Below are 18,074 nucleotides of genomic sequence, written 5' to 3'. Positions count from 1 at the left end.
ATCCTGCCATATCAGGAATGCTTCTTGGTGTGTGGTAGGACTTCATTAAGTGATTTTTGGGAAGGTGGATGGGGGCTGAGTATATGGGAAGATGAGTTGATAGCTAGATGGGTCAATGGTCAGATGGGTCAGTGTATAATTGGGTGAAGGGATGAAGACTGGATTAGTAGACAATTGGATGGTGAAAGGATAAATGGGTGGACCACTGATGAGTGGGTAGATGGCCATATGCATTTGTAGATGGATGGATGAATGACTTGATTGTTCAACTCATTGACACAGAAAAAAGTTTTCCTTCTGTGACTTATATCCCTACAAATGGCTAATTATATGGCCCAGTGGTTTTCAGATGCATTGGCATGTATATTAGCATTTTGCTCTTCCTTTAACAATTATGATGACTTCTGATTACAGTGTTGTCACAGGTAGCTCAGTTTCTCCCCAGGACAAGGCAATGCTGGGATTGCAATGGCAAGAGAGCCACCAAGAGCTCCTGCCCCATGAGGGGCACTGGTGCTTTGGGCTATCTGGAAAGAACACTGAACTCTGCGAGTCAGGAGCCCTGGGTTCTAGTGTTGGCTCTGCCCCTGCTTATCATGAGAACCAGCCATCTGCAGGGTAAGCATTAATTGATGTCATGCACATAAAATAATTACCACTGTGATCAGCCCATGGTAGACATTCAAAAATTCTAGTTACTACTTCATTCTTCTGAGCCTCTTCTCAGTCCCTCATACCCATTTGTCATATGTATGAGGTGAGAAAACAGATATCAGAGCAATTTCATAATGGTCTAGTCCCCAGGGGAGCACTGAGAAGGGGCTCAGAGTTCTAAGCAATTGGACAGAGATGCAGGGTTGGGCTCAAGTGTTCCTGGGAGCTGATGCGGGAACCGAGAAGCAGAGCAGAGAGCCCCTGGGAGGTCTGGTCACTGGTGGACAAGGAGGATAAGAGCTTTCAGGCCCTCAGACCATTCCAGGCCCTCTCCTGGACAGGAGCCACCTCAGGGCCTCCTTCAGGTCGGAAACACTGGTTCTGAGCCAGGGCGAAGTGAGGTATGCTGGCAGAGCTGGCTCTCTGGGCAGACAGACTCCACTGTGAAGAAGTGGCTTCACCTCCTGACCATCTCATCCTCTGTAAAATGAGGACATTAATATCTTAGAACTCAAGAATTCAGTGAGGCAGAGGGCAGAGAGCACTGAGCACACTTCCTAGTGTGGACACGCTCAGAAAACGTTCACACTCATGATGGTGTTACCACAACAGTGTCCACACACCATATGGCGCATTATTGAATATTACACGAAGTACTCTGATCTATAACCTGGAACATGTGATCTGTTTAATATTGTAATGTAATACATTTACATTATAAAAGTATAGTTATTCCATAATTTCCTTAAGACATTCTTGTGGCTAGAATAAGGTACATAATGAAAATGCAGAACCAGAAGGAGAGGAGAGGGAGCAGCTACACCTGTTCTGGTTTCTGTTCTGGTATCTGGCACACAGCGGACTTTCCCAGAGTCATGGCCTTGGCCGCTGCTGGCCCCTGAGTAGAACACAGGGACAGCCCCAGTGGCAAATGATTGGAGATGCTTGGTGTCAACAGGGAACCTCTCCTGGTGTCAAGAGAGCAGTGTCTTAATGGCCCAACCCACATCACCCACCTCCCATTTGCTCTGTTTCTGGCTGTGGCCCTCTAAGTGGGCTTTTGGAGTTCTCGGGAGATCTTTTCTCCAGGTATCCTAGACGAAGGCTCAATGCAATTTGGGAATGGCTTTGCCTGAGAAATGGCTGGTGATTTGTCATCCAGAGTCCAAGGGGACACTGAGCACTCTCGTTTGACTTGGGGGCCAGTTGGCACCTTGAGTAACTCTCAGGCAGAATCAGGGGGCCGGGAAGTCACCCACATTGAGTGTTCTGAATTGACCAGGCAAAAGCTTTTCAAGATGATTCCATCCAACTTTGGATGTCTGCAAAACACTGCATTCTGAGCAAATCTGTCTCTAGCCTCATATGGCACGGTCAGGCTAGACAGCACACCTGCTGAGGGGCTTCAGTATGTGAAGCAGCAGCATCTAGAGTTGGCGAAGCAAACGCTGAGCCAAGGGAAGGCTGCCTACGGGGAAGAGAAAGACAACAAGGGCTTGTTGGGAACATGGGCACACACCACTCCTGAGTCTTTCTTTTTAAACACTGTAATTCATCTAAGTATATAGGCTTCTATTTCGGGAGCTGGGAGATATATATACCCACACATGCATATTTATATGGGGAGAGCTGTATCTATACATTTGTATGTCTATATATAGAAGGTGATCCAACTTGAGCTATATGCACACACATAGATTTTGGATATATATATGTGTGTGTGTGTGTATATATATATATATCTCACATATATGTTTATTCCATATCTCATGTCCTGGTTTCCTAATAAACACTGGAAGTTTTCCTCTCTGGGTTGTGTATTGCAGGCAATCAATCTATCACCGTGTGATATGCCACTCTAGACTGGATATCTGTGTGCATGTGTGCATGTCTCTCATGCATGTGTGTATTTCGTCTATTTTCTGTCATCTTTAGAGGCAACATGGGCTTCAGTTAATAGTATTTTATCTGCAGTGTTTGCAGGGAAGCTTGCAGAGGAGTGAGCAAAGTGCCCCTCGCGTGTGATGCACACTTGGTGCTCAGGAGGCGGCGGCTGGCTGGACAGGGGACATTTGTCTTCAGTCATGCAGTCCTGTCTAGACCTAGGCTGTCATCTGCCTGTCCCTCCATACCTGCTTCCCTTCTCCCTACAATGCTTATGGAAAAAGCCCTTTAGATGGTGTGATTTGTCCAAGGAAAGAGGCTATGGAGCTCCTGGGACAGGCCCTGCGTGAGGGGCTAGGGGCCTTGTTCCAGTTCCGGCAGACCAAGTCCAGGCCCCACGTGCCCCAGGGCTGCTGCTGACACAGGGCACAGGCAGAGGCGGCAGGGAGCGGAGGCTTTGGTGGTGGTGAGCTTTTTGCCTTGGAGGGTCTTTAAGCTTCTGTTGCCTTCACCAGCTGTCAGGGAGGCAGGTGCTCACACCCATCCCCAGGCCGGGCCGTCAGGAAGGCAGGTGCTTGTGCCCATCCGCAGGCTGGGCCGCCGGAGAGGCAGGTGCTCGTGCCCATCTGCAGGCTGGGCCACCAGGGGGGCAGGTGCTCATGCCCATCCACAGGCCGGGCCGTCGGGAAGGCAGGTGCTCATGCCCATCCCCAGGCCAGGCCATCGGGAAGGCAGGTGCTCGTGCCCATCCGCAGGCTGGGTCGCCTGGGAGGCAGGTGCTCGTGCCCATCTGCAGGCCACGCCGCCAGGGGACAGGTGCTCGTGCCCATCCCCAGGCCGGGCCTCCAGGGAGGCAGGTGCTCGTGCCCATCCCCAGACCCGGCCGAGGCGGGACTGTTGCAGGGTTTCCTCATTGGTCTGCAAGTGTGGTGTGCATTTGGGTGAGGAGTGGGATGAACTGGCTCCGGAACCCCCTGTGCTTGCACGTGTCTTTCCTTCTGACTGAATTAATTGCATTGATTCCATCCCTCAGCCAGGATGGAAATTGGTTCCATTTGTTTTTCACCTCACAGTTCCGGGGGTGTGTGGATGGAAGAGTGTTTCCCCCGCTCAGAAAACCTCTATTGGTTTTGCTGTCTCCCATCAGCCAGCATTCAGCTCTGCTGGCAAAAGCCCTTAGTTTTAGAAGGCTGCTGCATTTGCTCCCCAGGAACCCTCTGATCTGCTTCTTATGGTCTTGCGCCTTCTTCCTTCCCTGTTGTCAGAGCTTTGTCCTGCTGCGCACCCACAGTTGCTGCATCTGGGGACCCTGCAGGGCAGGGATGGCTGCAAGCCCAGATCTCGGCACACAGTCATCTCTTAATAAGTCATCACTGAATGCATGATTGAAGGAATGAATAGTGTGATTGACTGGACCAGATAGCTTCAAGAGCTTGTTAATGGATTTAGATAATCAATTTGCATGATCAAAAAAATGGATTGATTTGCTGTGGTCTTGAATGCACAGCCTGCCTGTACAGTTAGCCTACTACCTGCGCCTGCTCACCCTGGGCCTCCTCCACAGACAGCATGGTGGGTGGCCTGCTGGGCACAGCCCCAGCACAGCAGGGACTGGATGAGGGAGGATGGGAATGGGCCTCCTCCATGCCCAACTCCGGGATGGCCTCGCGTCTGTCAGAGTTTTGAATGTATCAGTCAGCTTCCAATGCGGCTAGCATCGTGTTTGCTGATGCTGATTGACTAGAGCTCAGCAAAAGAGTTGCCTTTTCTTTCAGAGACCATTAAAATTATATGTGTGTGGGGGTGAATTTCTTTAGGAGTTGTTTGTAAATATCCATCTTCATTTTTCTTCTTATTCCTGAGATAATGTATTCACTGCCTCCCCTTGATTTAGGATAATTCACCTCGTCCTGCCAGAGGCAGTCAGTTCGGAGAGATGAGTCTGCGTTTCACAGGCTGGTGCCAACTGGTGGGGCCTGGTCGTGGGCCATGGATAGGAAAACAGCAGCCAAGCCAGACAAGTGTTATCCTGATCCCCACCCTCCCGCAGTGCTGCCTGCTGCGGGGGGTGGGGGGTGGAACTAAGAGCTCAGTTCAATCTGGGATTGATGATTGATCATCGGGTTCAGTGGGGAGCCATGAGCGCAGGCCGGCATCTGTTCTTGCTGGGACTGTTCACACAGCCTCTACCGCTTCCGGCACCAAGCCGAGCTGTCTGACCATGCCTCCTCTCCCTGCAGCCTGTAGCGGTGTTTCTTCACAGAATGAAGTTCAAGGCCCATCGTGGCCAGGCCGGCCCCCTTGGCCTTGGCCTCAGCTTGCGGCACCCACCTCTTCCTCCATGTTTCCCTTTGGAGCTTCCCAGTCCCCACATCCTCTGAAGCCTTCCCTGGTGCTCTGGTCCTTCCTGCTCCCTCTTCAGAGTGTCTCCTCCACCGCTCTGACCCATGGGCTGGCTTTCCGGTCTCATCTGCCAGCCTGGAAACCCTTTGACAACAAGGATCCTGCCTGGCCCCAAAGGCCACAGCTTGTCTGTTAGGGTCTACTTGGCTGCAAGTAGCAGAAACCCCCGAGTAATAGTGGCTTCAGTAAAGCTCACAGGTCTCCGTCACATTAAAATCGAGAGGCAGACAGGCCAAAGCTGATGTGACCTACCAGTGCCAGGCACCTGCACTGTACCTCTGCCGTTGCCCTGGGGCACAGCCTGGAGTCAGGACAGCTGCTCCCACACTGCGGGGAGCATGGAGGAAAGGAGGAAGGCACTCCCTCCCCGGTGTAAGGAGACCTCCTGGAATTTGCACAAACCCTCTCCCTTCATCCCTTGGCCAGACTTAGTCATAGTGCCATACCCAATTGCAAGGGAAGCCTGGAAGTACGGGCTCCATTAATATGCCCAGCTAAATATTGGGGTTCCATTCTTTTGGAGGGAGAAAGTGGATATTAGGAAGCTATTAGCCATCTGGCACTCCAGTGCGTTTTAATGTCGTACGCTTTTATGGAACCCGTATATGTTTATAAAGGCCTGGGCCAGGAATGCAGTGGAGCACAGGCGAGAGTTTGTGCCTCTATTGACTGCCAGCCTGGGCCACCACTGTACCCCATGCAGCTCCTTTCCCCCTCCCCATACCCTACAATGCTTGGTGGCATTAGCCTCATTCCTGAGACCCAGAAAAAGTAATTTTTCCAAGTCATACAACCATATAACCAGTAAATGGTAAACCAAGGGTCAAACCTAGTATCTCCTTAAAGGCGACATCATCCTTAGCTACCTCAAATTGGAGAAACTCAGCTCCGTGTTGCTTGAGTGCTGGGACACACAAGAAACCACGATGAATCCGGGCAGGGCTGGAGAGGGGGCGGATGGGAAGGTGTGGAGGATGTGGTACTGATGGCCCAGTGGGACACCAAGCTGCTGACACGGGATGTGCCAGGCCTGGGGACGGGGTGATGAACTGGGAGCATGGGGGTGGCTGAGGCCTTCAGGCCAAGCCTGGCCAGCAGGTTGCCGCAGCCAGCTGGGGGCCCCGGGCAAAGGCATCGCATTTGTAAGCAACTTGGACCTTCTGAGAAAGCAGGAGAAAGGCCTTGCTTAGCTGGTGAATGAGGTGGCCCTTCCTTCCACAAAATGAAAAACAATTCTATTTTCCCCAGACTGTCCCAAAGCTTATTCCAGTCCCCACTCCCACCAGCAGTCCATGCCAGCAGAGCTCCTCCCCGCTCTCCTGCTCTTACCTGCCTCTCTTCCACCTTTTCTCTTCCTTAATTTAAGGTGTAAAATTTAGAGTCTGTGGTTTGTGTCCAGACAGGACCAGCCCAGCCATAGAGCAGTCCTCACCCACTGCCCGCCCTGCACAGGGCTGTGCATACTCTCCTTTCTGGAAAATTAACGGCCCCTCCGTTGTTCACAGAAAGAGCAGGGAAGGAACGTCTTGACGAAATAGAAAAGCCTCATCCTTCTCTCTCATCCTGTGACATGTTTAGAGCCCAATTATTTCATGTGGGGAGGACAAAGCAGGGGGCCACCCTGGTTTGACCCCCTTCTCCTGCCAGGCACTCTGCCAAGAAATGGACATGACCTTCACAACAGCCGGGTGTGGTCTCAGGTTGCCCTGTTTCACATAGGAAGGTGAAGCTGGGGAGGCGCTGTACCAGCAGGGCAGGGACAGAGTTGGGAGTCTACAGCTGTCCTTGAATTTGTCCTCCTAGCGATGAGGAGGTTTCCTTGATGAAAGCCACTCTATGACTCTGGCGGGTGAGCATAGTCACCTGCTCGCCTGCAGATGGGTCTCTGGGAAGCCGCTGAAGCCTGGAGAAGTCCACAGCCCATGCCTTCTGGAGACCCAGAGCTGAGTGGGGAGGACAGGACGAGATATGCCACACTCAGGTTGCCAAGGAATAGCTAGAGAGCACTGTATGGGGAGTGAGGGCCCAGCGCTGGAGTCCGCAGCTCATCAGCTGCAGCAGTGGCTGGAGGCTGCTCTGGTGAATCAGCGTGCACATGGTGGCTTAAAGCAACACAGATTTATTCTCATGCAGTGCCAGAGGGCAGAGTCAGAAGTGGGGCTCCTGGGCTAAAATTGAGGTGTCACGGGGCTCATTCCTTCTGGAGGCCCTTGAGGAGGATCCATTCCTTGCCTTTTCTGGTTTCCAGAGGCCACCTGCTCTCCTTGGCTCCCGGCCCCTTCCACCAAAGCCAGCAGTGGCTGGTCCAGCCTTTCTCTTGATGCCCCCTCCCTGGTTCTGACGTTTCTACCTCTCTCTTTCACTTTTAAGGACCCTGGTGATTACGTGGGGCTCACCTGGATAATTCAGGATGAGCTTCCTGTCTCCAAGTGAGCTTAATTCCCCTTTGGCCGTGGAAGAACACCAGTCCACCGGTTCCGTGGGTCAGGATCTTTGGGAGGGATCGTTCTGCCTATCACACCTGCTATGAATGACAGAAATTCAGAGGAGTCCAAGTTCACTTGATGCACAAGTGGGCATTTCAAGGCTTCTCCCTTGTGGTTCTGCAGGCACCTGGAAGTCCCAGAGAGCAGTGAGCCAGTGACCAGCCCCGGGGCCGAGTCTCAGCCCTGCCGCCCTCCTGCTGGCTCTGGGAATTCACTTTTCTGAGCCTCAGTTTATCTGTGCATAAAACGAGGCCAGTGGTCTCTGCCTTGTTTACCTCACATGACTGTTTATTCAGCAGATGCCCAAATGCCTACAGCATGCCACGTGTTCTTCCACTTAGCCCTATGTGTCGAGTGCCCACCATATGCCAGGCATGGTATTGCACATAAGGTATAAACCAACAAACAAGACAGCCCAGTCCCCGCCCTTCAGCTGCCTCTATCTGGACCACCAGGCCTGGGGCTGGGCAGTGGCTGGGGCAGGCCAGGTTGGCTGGAAGCATCTGGCAAGGTATGCCCAGCCTGCCACGTACTGTTCCTTCACCTGCCCGGACCTCAGCTTCCTCATCTGTGCGATGAAAATCTGCTTAAGATTAGAGGGGTGACATGAAATGAAACCCGGTTGTAGGACCTGGCAGTGCAGCTGCTACATTAGTGACTGTAAGTGCAGAACTCGGAGGACCCACCAGCTGACCAGGATGCCCTCCCAGAAGCACAATGGCCAGCACCCTGAGCCCGTCTATGGGCAGGACAGCAAACAGCAGGACAGGGCGGTGGAGGGACACTTCTCTGTGCCACAGGCCCGCCCCCTCCCCACCCCCTGCCAGCCCCTCCTCCATGGGAGTCCAGCCTTCTCAGGCGGGGGCCATGCTGTGATCATGGCCCCGGGCACGAAGGCGAGAGCGGATGTTGATTCAATTTACAAATGTGATGAATCGCCTGCCGACTGTGTTTATTTGTCAGGGCTGCTGTGAAGCTGGTGTCAGTGGGGGATGTCTGTGCGATCGAAGCCAGTATCTGCTTTGACAAGAGTTAGAAGTAGGGTTTGTTTTTTCCCTTAGAAACTCTTGCTGTTCACTTTGAATGTGGAGTGCGGAGGCCTGGCTGGAAGCCTTCTCCTCAGGACAAAGAGCTGGACAGCAGTGGAAATTCTAGAGCAAGTTTCCACAGGTGGGAAGCTCTGGGCCTAGACTGTTTAAAAAGCAGGTGGAGGAGGAGAAAAATCCCCAAGGCCAGCAGCAGCAACATTTCAAGAGGCAGTGAAATTAACTCTCCCTGCAGCTGTCAAAAGAGAGGCTGCAAATTGGCCAGGTTGATGCCAGGACAGTGTTTTAAAAGCACAGCTCTGACCAGTGGCCAAAAGTCCAGTGCAGAGTTCCTAGTTTCTAATGCAAGGGCCTCATGGACCGGCCTCTGCTGAGTTCTCTTTCCTCATTTCAAAGCCCCTTTCAGCTGGACTCACACTGCTGTGTTTTCCAAAGCGGTCTGGGCTCTCCCATGTCCCCGGTCTTCACTTGCTCAGTCCTCTCCACCCCAGGTCCCCAGCTTCCCTCCTGCCCTGTCTAGTAAACCTGGACATTGTCCTGTGGCTTGTCTTTCAGAAGTTCCCTGTGTTGTGCAGGCAGCTGGGGCTGCTCCCCAGTGGGTGGTGGCTTCGTCCTGGAACTCTGTCACTTGGCCTTGGGGTGCTTTAGGGGGCTGGGTCCCCCACCAGCCAGTGAGCTCCTCGTGAGTGGGCAGGGCCCAGCATGGGGGTGCCTCCCATCGGCTCCCTACTGTGAGCACTGTGGGTTCTGCGAATTCTGCCTGCACCAGGAGCTCCTGCATCCATGAGGTGCCTGTGACCACACCAGGGACAGAGGAGGCTGTCAGCAGCACCACCCTCCCTACCTGGCCAGCCTTGCCCTGGGATGGATTGGCCAGAGCCTGCACTCGGCAGGTGTGTTGACCATGAGCACAGTCATTTCCGTGCTGCCTGACTTCAGGGGTCAGCTGCTTCTGCCAGACAAGCAGGCACGCTGGGGGAGACAGGGAAGAAACAGCGCAGCAGTGAGGCCCGCCGGCCCCCACCAGCAGGCTCCTGTGCCCCCATGTGCTAGGCAGAGCAAGCAAGAGCCCCCAAGATGTCCACAACCCAACCCCAGAACCTGCAAATATGGTACCTTACATGGCAAAAGGCAATTAGGGTTGCAGGTGCAGGTAGTTACTAAGCAGCTGACCTTCAAGCCCAGGGTAATCACGAAGGTCCTTTCAGAGGAGAAGAGGGAGGCAGAAGAGGAGGGCGGAGTGATGCGATGTGAGAAGGACCACAAGAAGGAGCCGGGGGCGAGGGGATGTGGGAAATCCCTCAGCAGGAAAAGGCAAGCGAGGGGTAGATGTTTCCCTGGAGCTTCCAGGAGGAATGCGGTCCTGCCAGCATCCTGATTTTAACCAGGCGAGGCCGCTTTCATACTTCTAGCTCTAGAATTTCAAGACAGTGAATTTGTCTTGCTTCAAACCACAGCAATAGGAAACTAACATATCCCTTTGTACCTCCCAGACCCGAGGCATCAGATCCTACCCTTCCAAGCACCCTAGAAGGGCTGGCTACAGGAATGTCAGAGTGAGGCAGCCATAGAAAGTAGCAGAAAACTCTGTTCATGGGCACAAGGGAAGGACAAGCCTACCAGAGGCAGCCAGGCCTTGGTGAGCGACCCTGGGCTGTGGGCGGGGCAGGCTGGATGTGCCTGTTGATTGACACATCCGAGAATGGGCAAGGCCAGTAAAGACTGTGAGAGTGTGGACTGTGCCACTGCATTGCTGAGAAACCTCCCACGCGTGGAAACCGCCACCCTCCTGGCCCGACTGTCCAGTGCAGAATCCCCGTTGGTGTGTTGAAGGCCCACTAGGGTTTAGGGTCAGGCTGCGTTTCTGGTCTGTTCTCCAGGAACACGCTACCCTCGCCGACCTCCAATTTGAGTCGTGCAGTTTCCTCATCAACGTCCACCGCTGCTAAGTTAGTTCCTTTGCCTCCTTCCAGGCCCCGTTCACATGGTGCCTTTGCCATGAAGATTTAAGCATTTGAGTCTCAATGGAATCAACTCACATTCCCCGAATCCAGGATCACTCCTGATCCATAGGAGATTAGAATCAATTCTACTGGAACCAGTGAAAAATGAATGAGTGAGGGGACATGAAAGCGGCAGAAGTTTCCCCGCTCCTCAGCTGTTCCTCAGCATCTGAGAGGAGTGGCCATTGCAAGCCACCTCCCTGCAGGGGAGGCCAGGGCCGCCGCAGCCACAGTGTCACAGCAGAGCCCTCTCTGAGGAGAGGCGTGGCAGTAATAAGGTCTGCTTTGTGTGGTTCACATCTCCTGGGCCTGCTCTGCCAGGCCGTGGGATGGACTGCACAGTCCAGGGGAATTTAGTACAGACTCTCTGGTGGTGCCCAGACTGGCCGAACATTTCATTTACTGTGCTTTTGGTGGAAAATAACTACCCTCTGTGGCTCTCACTACAGAAATAAAGTCATTGTTAATAGCCAGGGTTTCTTTGGAACACAGTCTCAGAAAGTGAAGTCTGTTGGCTACAACGTAGAAAACTGCCGTGAAAGCAGGCATCCGGAAGGGAGAGGCCATTTGTTTGTGTCGCTGTCCCAGTGCCTGGCACCGGCTGGCACTTTCTGTCTCCGGAATAGGCCATGCCCACTCTCCCTTTGGATGGTCCGTTTGCTCACCCTGGAACATTCTTTGAACTTGGAGGCAGCACCCAGCAGAGCTGGAGGCAGCGGCATTTCAGCTGTGACCTGAAGGATGAGTAGGCGCCCCTAGGAAACAAGCAGTGGGAAGAAGGAATGCGCCATGAGCATCCGCTTTCGGGGAGCAGTTACTGTGGGTTCCGAACATGACTAATGAGGAGGGATCAGTCTCCTCTCTGCTGAGTCCCTTCACAGAGGCCAAAATCATTGACCCTACTGTCTACTCCCCTGAGAACCTTTCTTGAGCCCGCCATTTCTTCCCCACTGTCCGCATCCCCGCAGAGACGGCCTGTCAGCCCCTCACTACCTGGTGGCCTGTCTGTCCCCTCCCACAGCATGGACTTGGCTTGTCGAAAGCCATCCCTGCCCTGGGGCTGCATAGGACCCCTCCACCTGGATCCCGTTCTGCTGCATTCACTGCCCAGCCCCCGGTGTCTCATTCCAGAGTGGTCTCCATGATGGCATGTCCATGATGCTCACATCCCCTGAGAATGTCCCTGGTGCTGAGCATAGTGTCTAGCGTGGCAGGTGCTCAGCATTTGCTGAATGTGTGAAGTAGCGAGTGCCTGGGCCCAGGCCTGTGCCACGTCCCGGACAAGCACAGTGCTAGGCCCAGCAGTCAGACCTGGGAGGGTTATCTGGCCAAAGATGCACCCTGAGGGAGAGGCAGGGGCTGAGCCACCCTAGGATACCGTCTGGCGTTATTCAGGAGATGCATCTTCTAAATAGGGCCTTCCCTTGTGAAAAGGGAGAATTCCACCCCTCCCAGCGTGGCCATGTGGATTTTGCCCCCTGGTGTGTCCCTCTTGCTGCACATCAGCTGACCTGGATCCTCAGCTACACTCCTGGTAACATCCAGGTGAGGCCCTGGGCCTCTCCACAGCAGGGCTGGACGGGAGAGCAGCAGGAGGAAGAAAACCGATGTATAAGTTCCTAGGCAAGCCCTGGACATCAGGCCTCATTTAGAGAGCCTGTCTGTCAGAGGCAGCCAGAAAAATACCTTTGATGCGGTCAAGAGTGTTCCATGAGGCTGCTCCTCCTCCTCCCAGAGGCTGGCAGGCCTCCTCGGTAACCTTGCCACCCACCCGTCATCACAGCAGCAGCCTCTTCCTGGAGAGGCCTGGCCCTGAAGGAAAGTGGACTAACTCTGCGGCCAAGGAGACCCGCCAGGGTGGTTCAGAGGCTCCCACATTCTCTTCCTTGGGGGGCTCCGAGCAGCCCATGAAAATGGCCCACACCAGAAAGGGCCCTTCCATGGCCCAGGCTCACTCCCCGCTCAGTCCTGGTGCCACCCCACATGCCCCAGAGGTCATGGCCTAAGTTATTCATGTTTGCTTGTTCGTGTTTCGGGTTCTGATGGTAAGCATGACAGATGTGACTCCTGTGCCCCCAGAGCTTGCAGTCCAGCAGGGAAGAAAAGCCATAAGGATGTCACACTTCAGCGATGTGTGCCAAGTGGGAGAACAGGTAAAGGCAGGTGCGTGTGCCCAGCACAGGGGGCAGGGGAAGCCTCCTGGAGGAGGAGATGTTTCAGCTGAGACCTGCAGGATGAGGAAGAGCTATCCAGTCACAAGAAGAGGCAAGTCACGGATGGAGAGCGGTGCATCCAGGGGTTTGGGGCTGTGGCTGTGGGGAACTGGGAGAATTCCACAAAGAGAGAGAAGAGTCCTGGTGTGGAGGCCTGTGGGTGCAGCGAGCCCTTTAGACTCTGTCCTGGAAGCAGGGGCGTCGAAGGCTTTGGGTGGTGTGATCAGATGTGCAGTGTGGAAGGAGCCTGCAGCCTGGGCCAGAAGAGGGGACAACATGGTTAGAGATGGGCGAGCTGTGAGAAGACAGTGTAGCCACCGGGCCAGGAGCTCCTGCTGGCCTGAACTGCCATGCCAGCCCTGTGGACAGACAGACATGGGCCGACTGGATGGACTCTGGAAGGAGAATCTCGGTGGCAAGTGAGAAGCGGGGAGCACAGAGGAGGGCCGAGGGGCTCCTGGCATCTGGGTTGGGTGCCTGGAAGGACGAGAGACCAGGGGTGTGGGGAAATGGCAGGGGACAGCCACGTGGGTGTGCCAAAGATGTGCGTGGACAGAGCTAGGACTCAGCAGCTCAGAAACGCCTTGGGCTGGAGACAGGCCTGCCTTCAGGGGGCCAGTCCCACTCCATGGGTCTCTGCGAGGCCACCCAGTGAGAGCAGACCGAGGCAGTGCAGGCAAGGCCCTCCCTGGGCACGTGAGCCTTCAGGGGGCTGGTGGGGGAGCGTGTTGTTGAGTTCCTGCCATGGCAAGAAGTACCCCTCAGAGTTCCTCTTTGGTCCCATCCAGTTGCTAGCTTTGCCTTGGACAGATGGCTATGGGAGGACAGGGGCCTTTTTGAAGTGCCGTTGGGGGCTGTGGTGGGCTGTCAGGTGGGAGCCGGAAGACCCTGCCCCGTGGCAGCTGTGCACTGGGGGTGGTGCCTCTGGTTACCGTGCTGCCTCGACAGGGTGTCACAGAGTGAAGCACGTCCCCCAGCTGGCGTGAACAGCGGCAGCAGGAGGGCTCTTGCATGTGTGTCACGGTGATGGTAAGAACCGTAGTCCAGCCTTTCTAGGCTTTGCAGATGTATTATCTTGAGCTTTGAAGTTTACCGAGGGTTTCTCTGTTCACTTCCTGGTTTGTTCCCTGAACTAACACCACCGGTGCATAGACTATTAAAACCTAACTGTCACCTGTACAGGTCCTGTTCCTTGTTCCAGGTCTCACAAGCAAGCAGGACTTGAACCCAGATCGCTAGGCCCCAAGTCCTCCTTGTCATTTCCTTTTTTAACAACAACAACGACAAACCCACAGAGACAGAAGGAGCCGTTCACATCAAGCCTTTCTGACCTCCCTGGAGGTGATGGGGTACCATCGTATCTCATTGTTTCTGGCAATGATGGCAAACATCGAGGGTTTATAAAGATCCTATTTTTTAGCTTACAGAATGAAGTATCTCCAATTAGAAGCATCCTCCTGAAAGAGCACTGTTTCTTCCCATGACTAATTGCATGCATGCTGAGATTTTGTGGAGCCTTGGTGTCTGCTCCTGGGAATTCCACAGAATGTCCCAAATGACTCTCGGGAAGCCACGCCCATCTCTCTTCAGTTCTTTTTGGACTTGGGATGAATCGTGTGAGTTTTCAGTCTCCCTCAGTTGCCCCGTGTGGCGGCAGCATCTGCATTGCTGCAGGGGAGCAGTTGGGCTTCATGCAGGCCTGGGCTGGGCCCTACCTCCCTCCCGAACCTTGAGCTTGCTCATGGAAGCTCTTTCTCCTCCAGGTCCCCCCAGCGGCTTCCCATGCACTTGCCCCTGGGGAGAATTGCAGGAAACACACACATCGAGTGCCGGGCGCAGGGTCAGAACCAGGATCGGTCCCGCTCCGGGGTCTGAGATGGAGAGCTGGTTCTTCTTTCAGAACTGCTTCCCTTTACTGGGGTGTGGTGGCTCACGCCTGTAACCCAGCACTTTGGGAGGCCAAGGTGGGTGGATCACCTGAGGTCAGGAATTCGAGACCAGCTTGGCCAACGTGATGAAACCCCGTCTCTACTAAAAATATAAAAATTAGCCAGGTGTGGCGGTGGGTGCCTGTAATTCCAGCTACTCAGGAGGCTGAGGAGGGAGAATCACCTGAACCTGGGAAGTGGAGGCTGCGCTGCGCTGAAATGGTACCACTGCGCTCCAGCCTGGGCGACGGAGTGAGACTCTGTCTCAAAAAAAATAAATAAATAAATAAATGCTTCCCTTTGTGCTACACCCAGCTTTCCTTGGTGGAAAATAGCATTTATGATAGATAGATGGGTAGGTAGATATAGATATATATAACCTGTCCAAACAGCTGGCAAGCTCAGGCCACATCCTCCACTGCTGATTGGGGTGGTGATTCTTGCACTCTCTGCCGTCCTCGGAGCCTCATCCTTTTTGTAACGGATTCTGTGGGCTTTCTAGGGAAGCTTTTTTTTTTTTTGTTTTTTAATCTTCAGCTTTCCCTCTCATGTCTTGGCAAAGCAGTGAGGCCTGGAGTCTCTTCATTTCACTCTGACAGCTCTTATCAATCTCCGCCTTAATTAAAGAAAGCAGATTTGGCAGCAGTGTCTCTTGTCTGCTGTCCTTTGGGACTTGATCGCTTTACAGCAGCAGCACTGATTGGCCTTTCTTGCTGCTTTCCCCACTGTCCCCAGGTTTATTAGTGAGGATGTCTCGTGGATACAAAAATAGATACCTAGATGAATAGATATTAGACATCCATCCGTGCATCCACGCACAGCACGGGCGAACGTGCGCGCCATCACAGTGACACAATGGGGCGCAGGAGGGAAGGCTGGACGGCGGCGAGGATGCTTGCTGCAGAGTCGCAGAGCAGCGGAGCCCCGGAGGACCTGCCAGGTTCCTTGGCTCAGTGACTTCAGAAATTTATTAATCAAAGGCAATGTGTGCACAACGCAGTATGTAAAACACATAAAAAGCATCTCTGTTCTGCTCGAAGTGGGTGAGGAGGTCAGAGGAGCTGGTCAGATGGGGGAGGATTTGAGGGTGCTTTCACCCCTATTGCCTCCAACTCCCCTATTTAAAAACCAGTGCTCTAGTCCAAGGCTCCAAGAGGAGAGGTGATTCACCCAAGGTCGCATTCATTAACAGCGAAAACCCAGTCAACAGAAACCTGCCAACGAGTCTGATGCCCACTCCATGGGGGGCACTTTCACCTTTGAAATCTTCACCTTTGGCATCTGGGCTTCCCTGTCCAGGCGAGTCAGCACCGGCATGAAATAAATCCTCAACAGGTGGGATAGAAATCGCCTATTTAATGACTGCCACGGGGTGGTGGGGAAAACATTGGACTCAGAACCTGGGAGAGCTGGCTCCCAGCAACAGCCCCGCTACTGGGGCAAATGACTTGTTTTCTGAGCTGCGGTTTACATCCTGAAATGCGCCTGATGATGACAGTGCCTGTATCTCTCGGGTGTGAGATCCCTCTCGTGAACTTGGACATGGCAAGGAGGGATGGAAATACCAAGAGCTTTGCAGCCTGCCAGGCAGGACTCCAAGTTCAGGCTACTCTGCCTGTACTCCTGGTAGACCATGGATAAGCCACACTCTCTGGCTTCAACTCCCTCAGCTGTGAGATGGGGCGACAACGTCCCCACTAGTGCACTGGTCCTGAGGACTCAGCGTCATGGAGGGCGGCTTCCCTGCCATTCGCCAGACGCCACGTTCCGCCTGCCTGCTGGCGGTGGAGGGGTCCCCCGTGCCTTGCAGCTGTGCCCGCCCCCCTTCCTCAGAAAGCCAGCTCTGTCTCTCAGTTGTGCATGTCACGTGGTGAACACACACGTCATTGTCCTAGGTCATTAGGAATGTCAGACTCACTGCTCCCGACACAGCCCTCTATGGTCCGTGGAGCCTTCCCTGGATCTCCATTTGCAGCTATGGAGTTGCGTCAGGTTTCTGCTGCCAGCTGGTGTAGGCACCATCATGCAAGAATACCTAACCTTGACTGACGTTCTTGCCTGGCCAAGCCTAGCAGGTGGCACTAACCACACCACCAGCAAGCAGAGTCCCTTGTGACTCAGCTCCCACTGTGACAGGCTCTGGTGGGCGCTGGGTACACAGAACCTCACCTCAGGCTTACAACAACTCTATGCACCGGAGTTTCTCACCCTGCTTCGTTCCAGAGGCCCACACAGGGCTCCATGACTTGCCCAGTGTCACATGGTTACCAAAGCCACGTGGCTGGTAGGGGTTGGGTAGCGATTTGCACACAGGTCATGCCACAGGAAAGCCTGCGTTTCCTCCACCGCCAAGGCACCTCCTCACCAGGGGCTCTCATGTTTCTGATCCCTCCTGACTTTCAGTAGCCATACCCAGGAATAACACCAGGGTGGCCCTGCCTCCCCTCCCCCACACTCAAGTTCATTCCCGGCCCCTCCTGCTCCTGAAGCGGAAGGAAGCTGAAATCAGTCAGTCCAATGACGGGCACACCTCTCAGCTCTCCTCATGAGAAAGTCCACACTGCACATTAGCAGCGGCCCTTCTTTGGTGGCCGCAGCTGCTTCTGGAAATGCCTCTTTCCTGCCTGTTCTGCTGGGAAGGCCACGTCTGGGAAGGGGCAGCACAGTGCCCTGCCTGTGAACCACCCGTCAAGGCCTGCGTTTAGGGCAAGCCTCCGCTTCGAGTAAGGAAATGACTTCTTTAATCTGCGGGGCATTTGCCCTGCCAACCTCTGAAGTCAGCCAGGTGCCGTGGCCGGATTCTTCGTGACCAGCTCCTTCCATTGCCAGAGCAGAAGAAGCTGGGTCATCAGCCAGAGAGGGTGGGCCTGTGTGGGAAAGGCAGGACACAGGCAGCAGCCTGCCTGGGAACACTGCTGGCCCAGCAGGTAGGAGGGACATTCTCTGGAGAAACTGAAGCAGAATTGCTGCCCCTTTTAGCAGAATCTTAAAGCTAAGGAAGGGGAAGTCGGCTGGGGGAAGGGGGCTATAGGTTTTATGAAGGTTCTCTGCTCCAGGATCACAAGGCTAAAATCAGGGTGTTTTGTCAGACTGGGTTCTCATCAGGGAATGGAGAAAAATCTACTTCTAAGCTTGTTCTTATTGTTGGCAGAATTCAGGTCCTTGTGGCTGTAGGACCGAGGCCCCAGCTTCCTGCTGATGTCCGCTGGAGACTGCTGTCAGCTCCCAGAGGCCACCCCCATTCCTGGACACGTGGCCCCTCCATCTCAAACCTGCAGTGGGGTGTTGAACCCTTCTCATGCTTCTCATCTCTGACTTCCCCTTCTGAGATCAGCTGGAAAAATTTCTCTGCCTTTAAAGAGCTCAGCCTGTTAGATTAGGCCCACTCAAGGAATCTCCCTTTTAGCAGAGAATGCCGTAATCATGGAAGCCATAACATTCCCAAGTTCCCACACCC

At 53.9% G+C, this 18,074-nt stretch overlaps 1 protein-coding gene across 11 annotated transcripts in view, besides 5 other annotated features; it reads left to right on the top strand.

The window, feature by feature from the left end:
- Positions 1-18,074, top strand: part of TRAPPC9 (trafficking protein particle complex subunit 9) — a 730,855-nt gene that overhangs the window by 607,669 nt on the left and 105,112 nt on the right. The gene's annotated exons all lie outside the window — the stretch shown is intronic.
- Positions 2,582-3,137: an enhancer, noted in NCBI's record as "H3K27ac-H3K4me1 hESC enhancer chr8:140860017-140860572 (GRCh37/hg19 assembly coordinates)". NCBI's record gives its function as "activates a minimal SCP1, AML or CMV promoter by ChIP-STARR-seq in primed H9 embryonic stem cells {active_cell/tissue: H9 hESC(primed)}" and the evidence as "EXISTENCE:reporter gene assay evidence [ECO:0000049][PMID:30033119]".
- Positions 6,032-6,555: an enhancer, noted in NCBI's record as "H3K4me1 hESC enhancer chr8:140856599-140857122 (GRCh37/hg19 assembly coordinates)". NCBI's record gives its function as "activates a minimal SCP1, AML or CMV promoter by ChIP-STARR-seq in naive H9 embryonic stem cells {active_cell/tissue: H9 hESC(naive)}" and the evidence as "EXISTENCE:reporter gene assay evidence [ECO:0000049][PMID:30033119]".
- Positions 9,178-9,702: an enhancer, noted in NCBI's record as "H3K27ac-H3K4me1 hESC enhancer chr8:140853452-140853976 (GRCh37/hg19 assembly coordinates)". NCBI's record gives its function as "activates a minimal SCP1, AML or CMV promoter by ChIP-STARR-seq in naive H9 embryonic stem cells {active_cell/tissue: H9 hESC(naive)}" and the evidence as "EXISTENCE:reporter gene assay evidence [ECO:0000049][PMID:30033119]".
- Positions 11,800-12,323: an enhancer, noted in NCBI's record as "H3K4me1 hESC enhancer chr8:140850831-140851354 (GRCh37/hg19 assembly coordinates)". NCBI's record gives its function as "activates a minimal SCP1, AML or CMV promoter by ChIP-STARR-seq in naive H9 embryonic stem cells {active_cell/tissue: H9 hESC(naive)}" and the evidence as "EXISTENCE:reporter gene assay evidence [ECO:0000049][PMID:30033119]".
- Positions 12,324-12,848: an enhancer, noted in NCBI's record as "H3K27ac-H3K4me1 hESC enhancer chr8:140850306-140850830 (GRCh37/hg19 assembly coordinates)". NCBI's record gives its function as "activates a minimal SCP1, AML or CMV promoter by ChIP-STARR-seq in naive H9 embryonic stem cells {active_cell/tissue: H9 hESC(naive)}" and the evidence as "EXISTENCE:reporter gene assay evidence [ECO:0000049][PMID:30033119]".

Source organism: Homo sapiens, chromosome 8, assembly GCF_000001405.40.
Source record: "Homo sapiens chromosome 8, GRCh38.p14 Primary Assembly".
NCBI lineage: Eukaryota > Metazoa > Chordata > Mammalia > Primates > Hominidae > Homo > Homo sapiens.
Note: the sequence above shows the minus strand (reverse complement) of the source record. Positions and strands in the feature narration are given on the sequence as shown.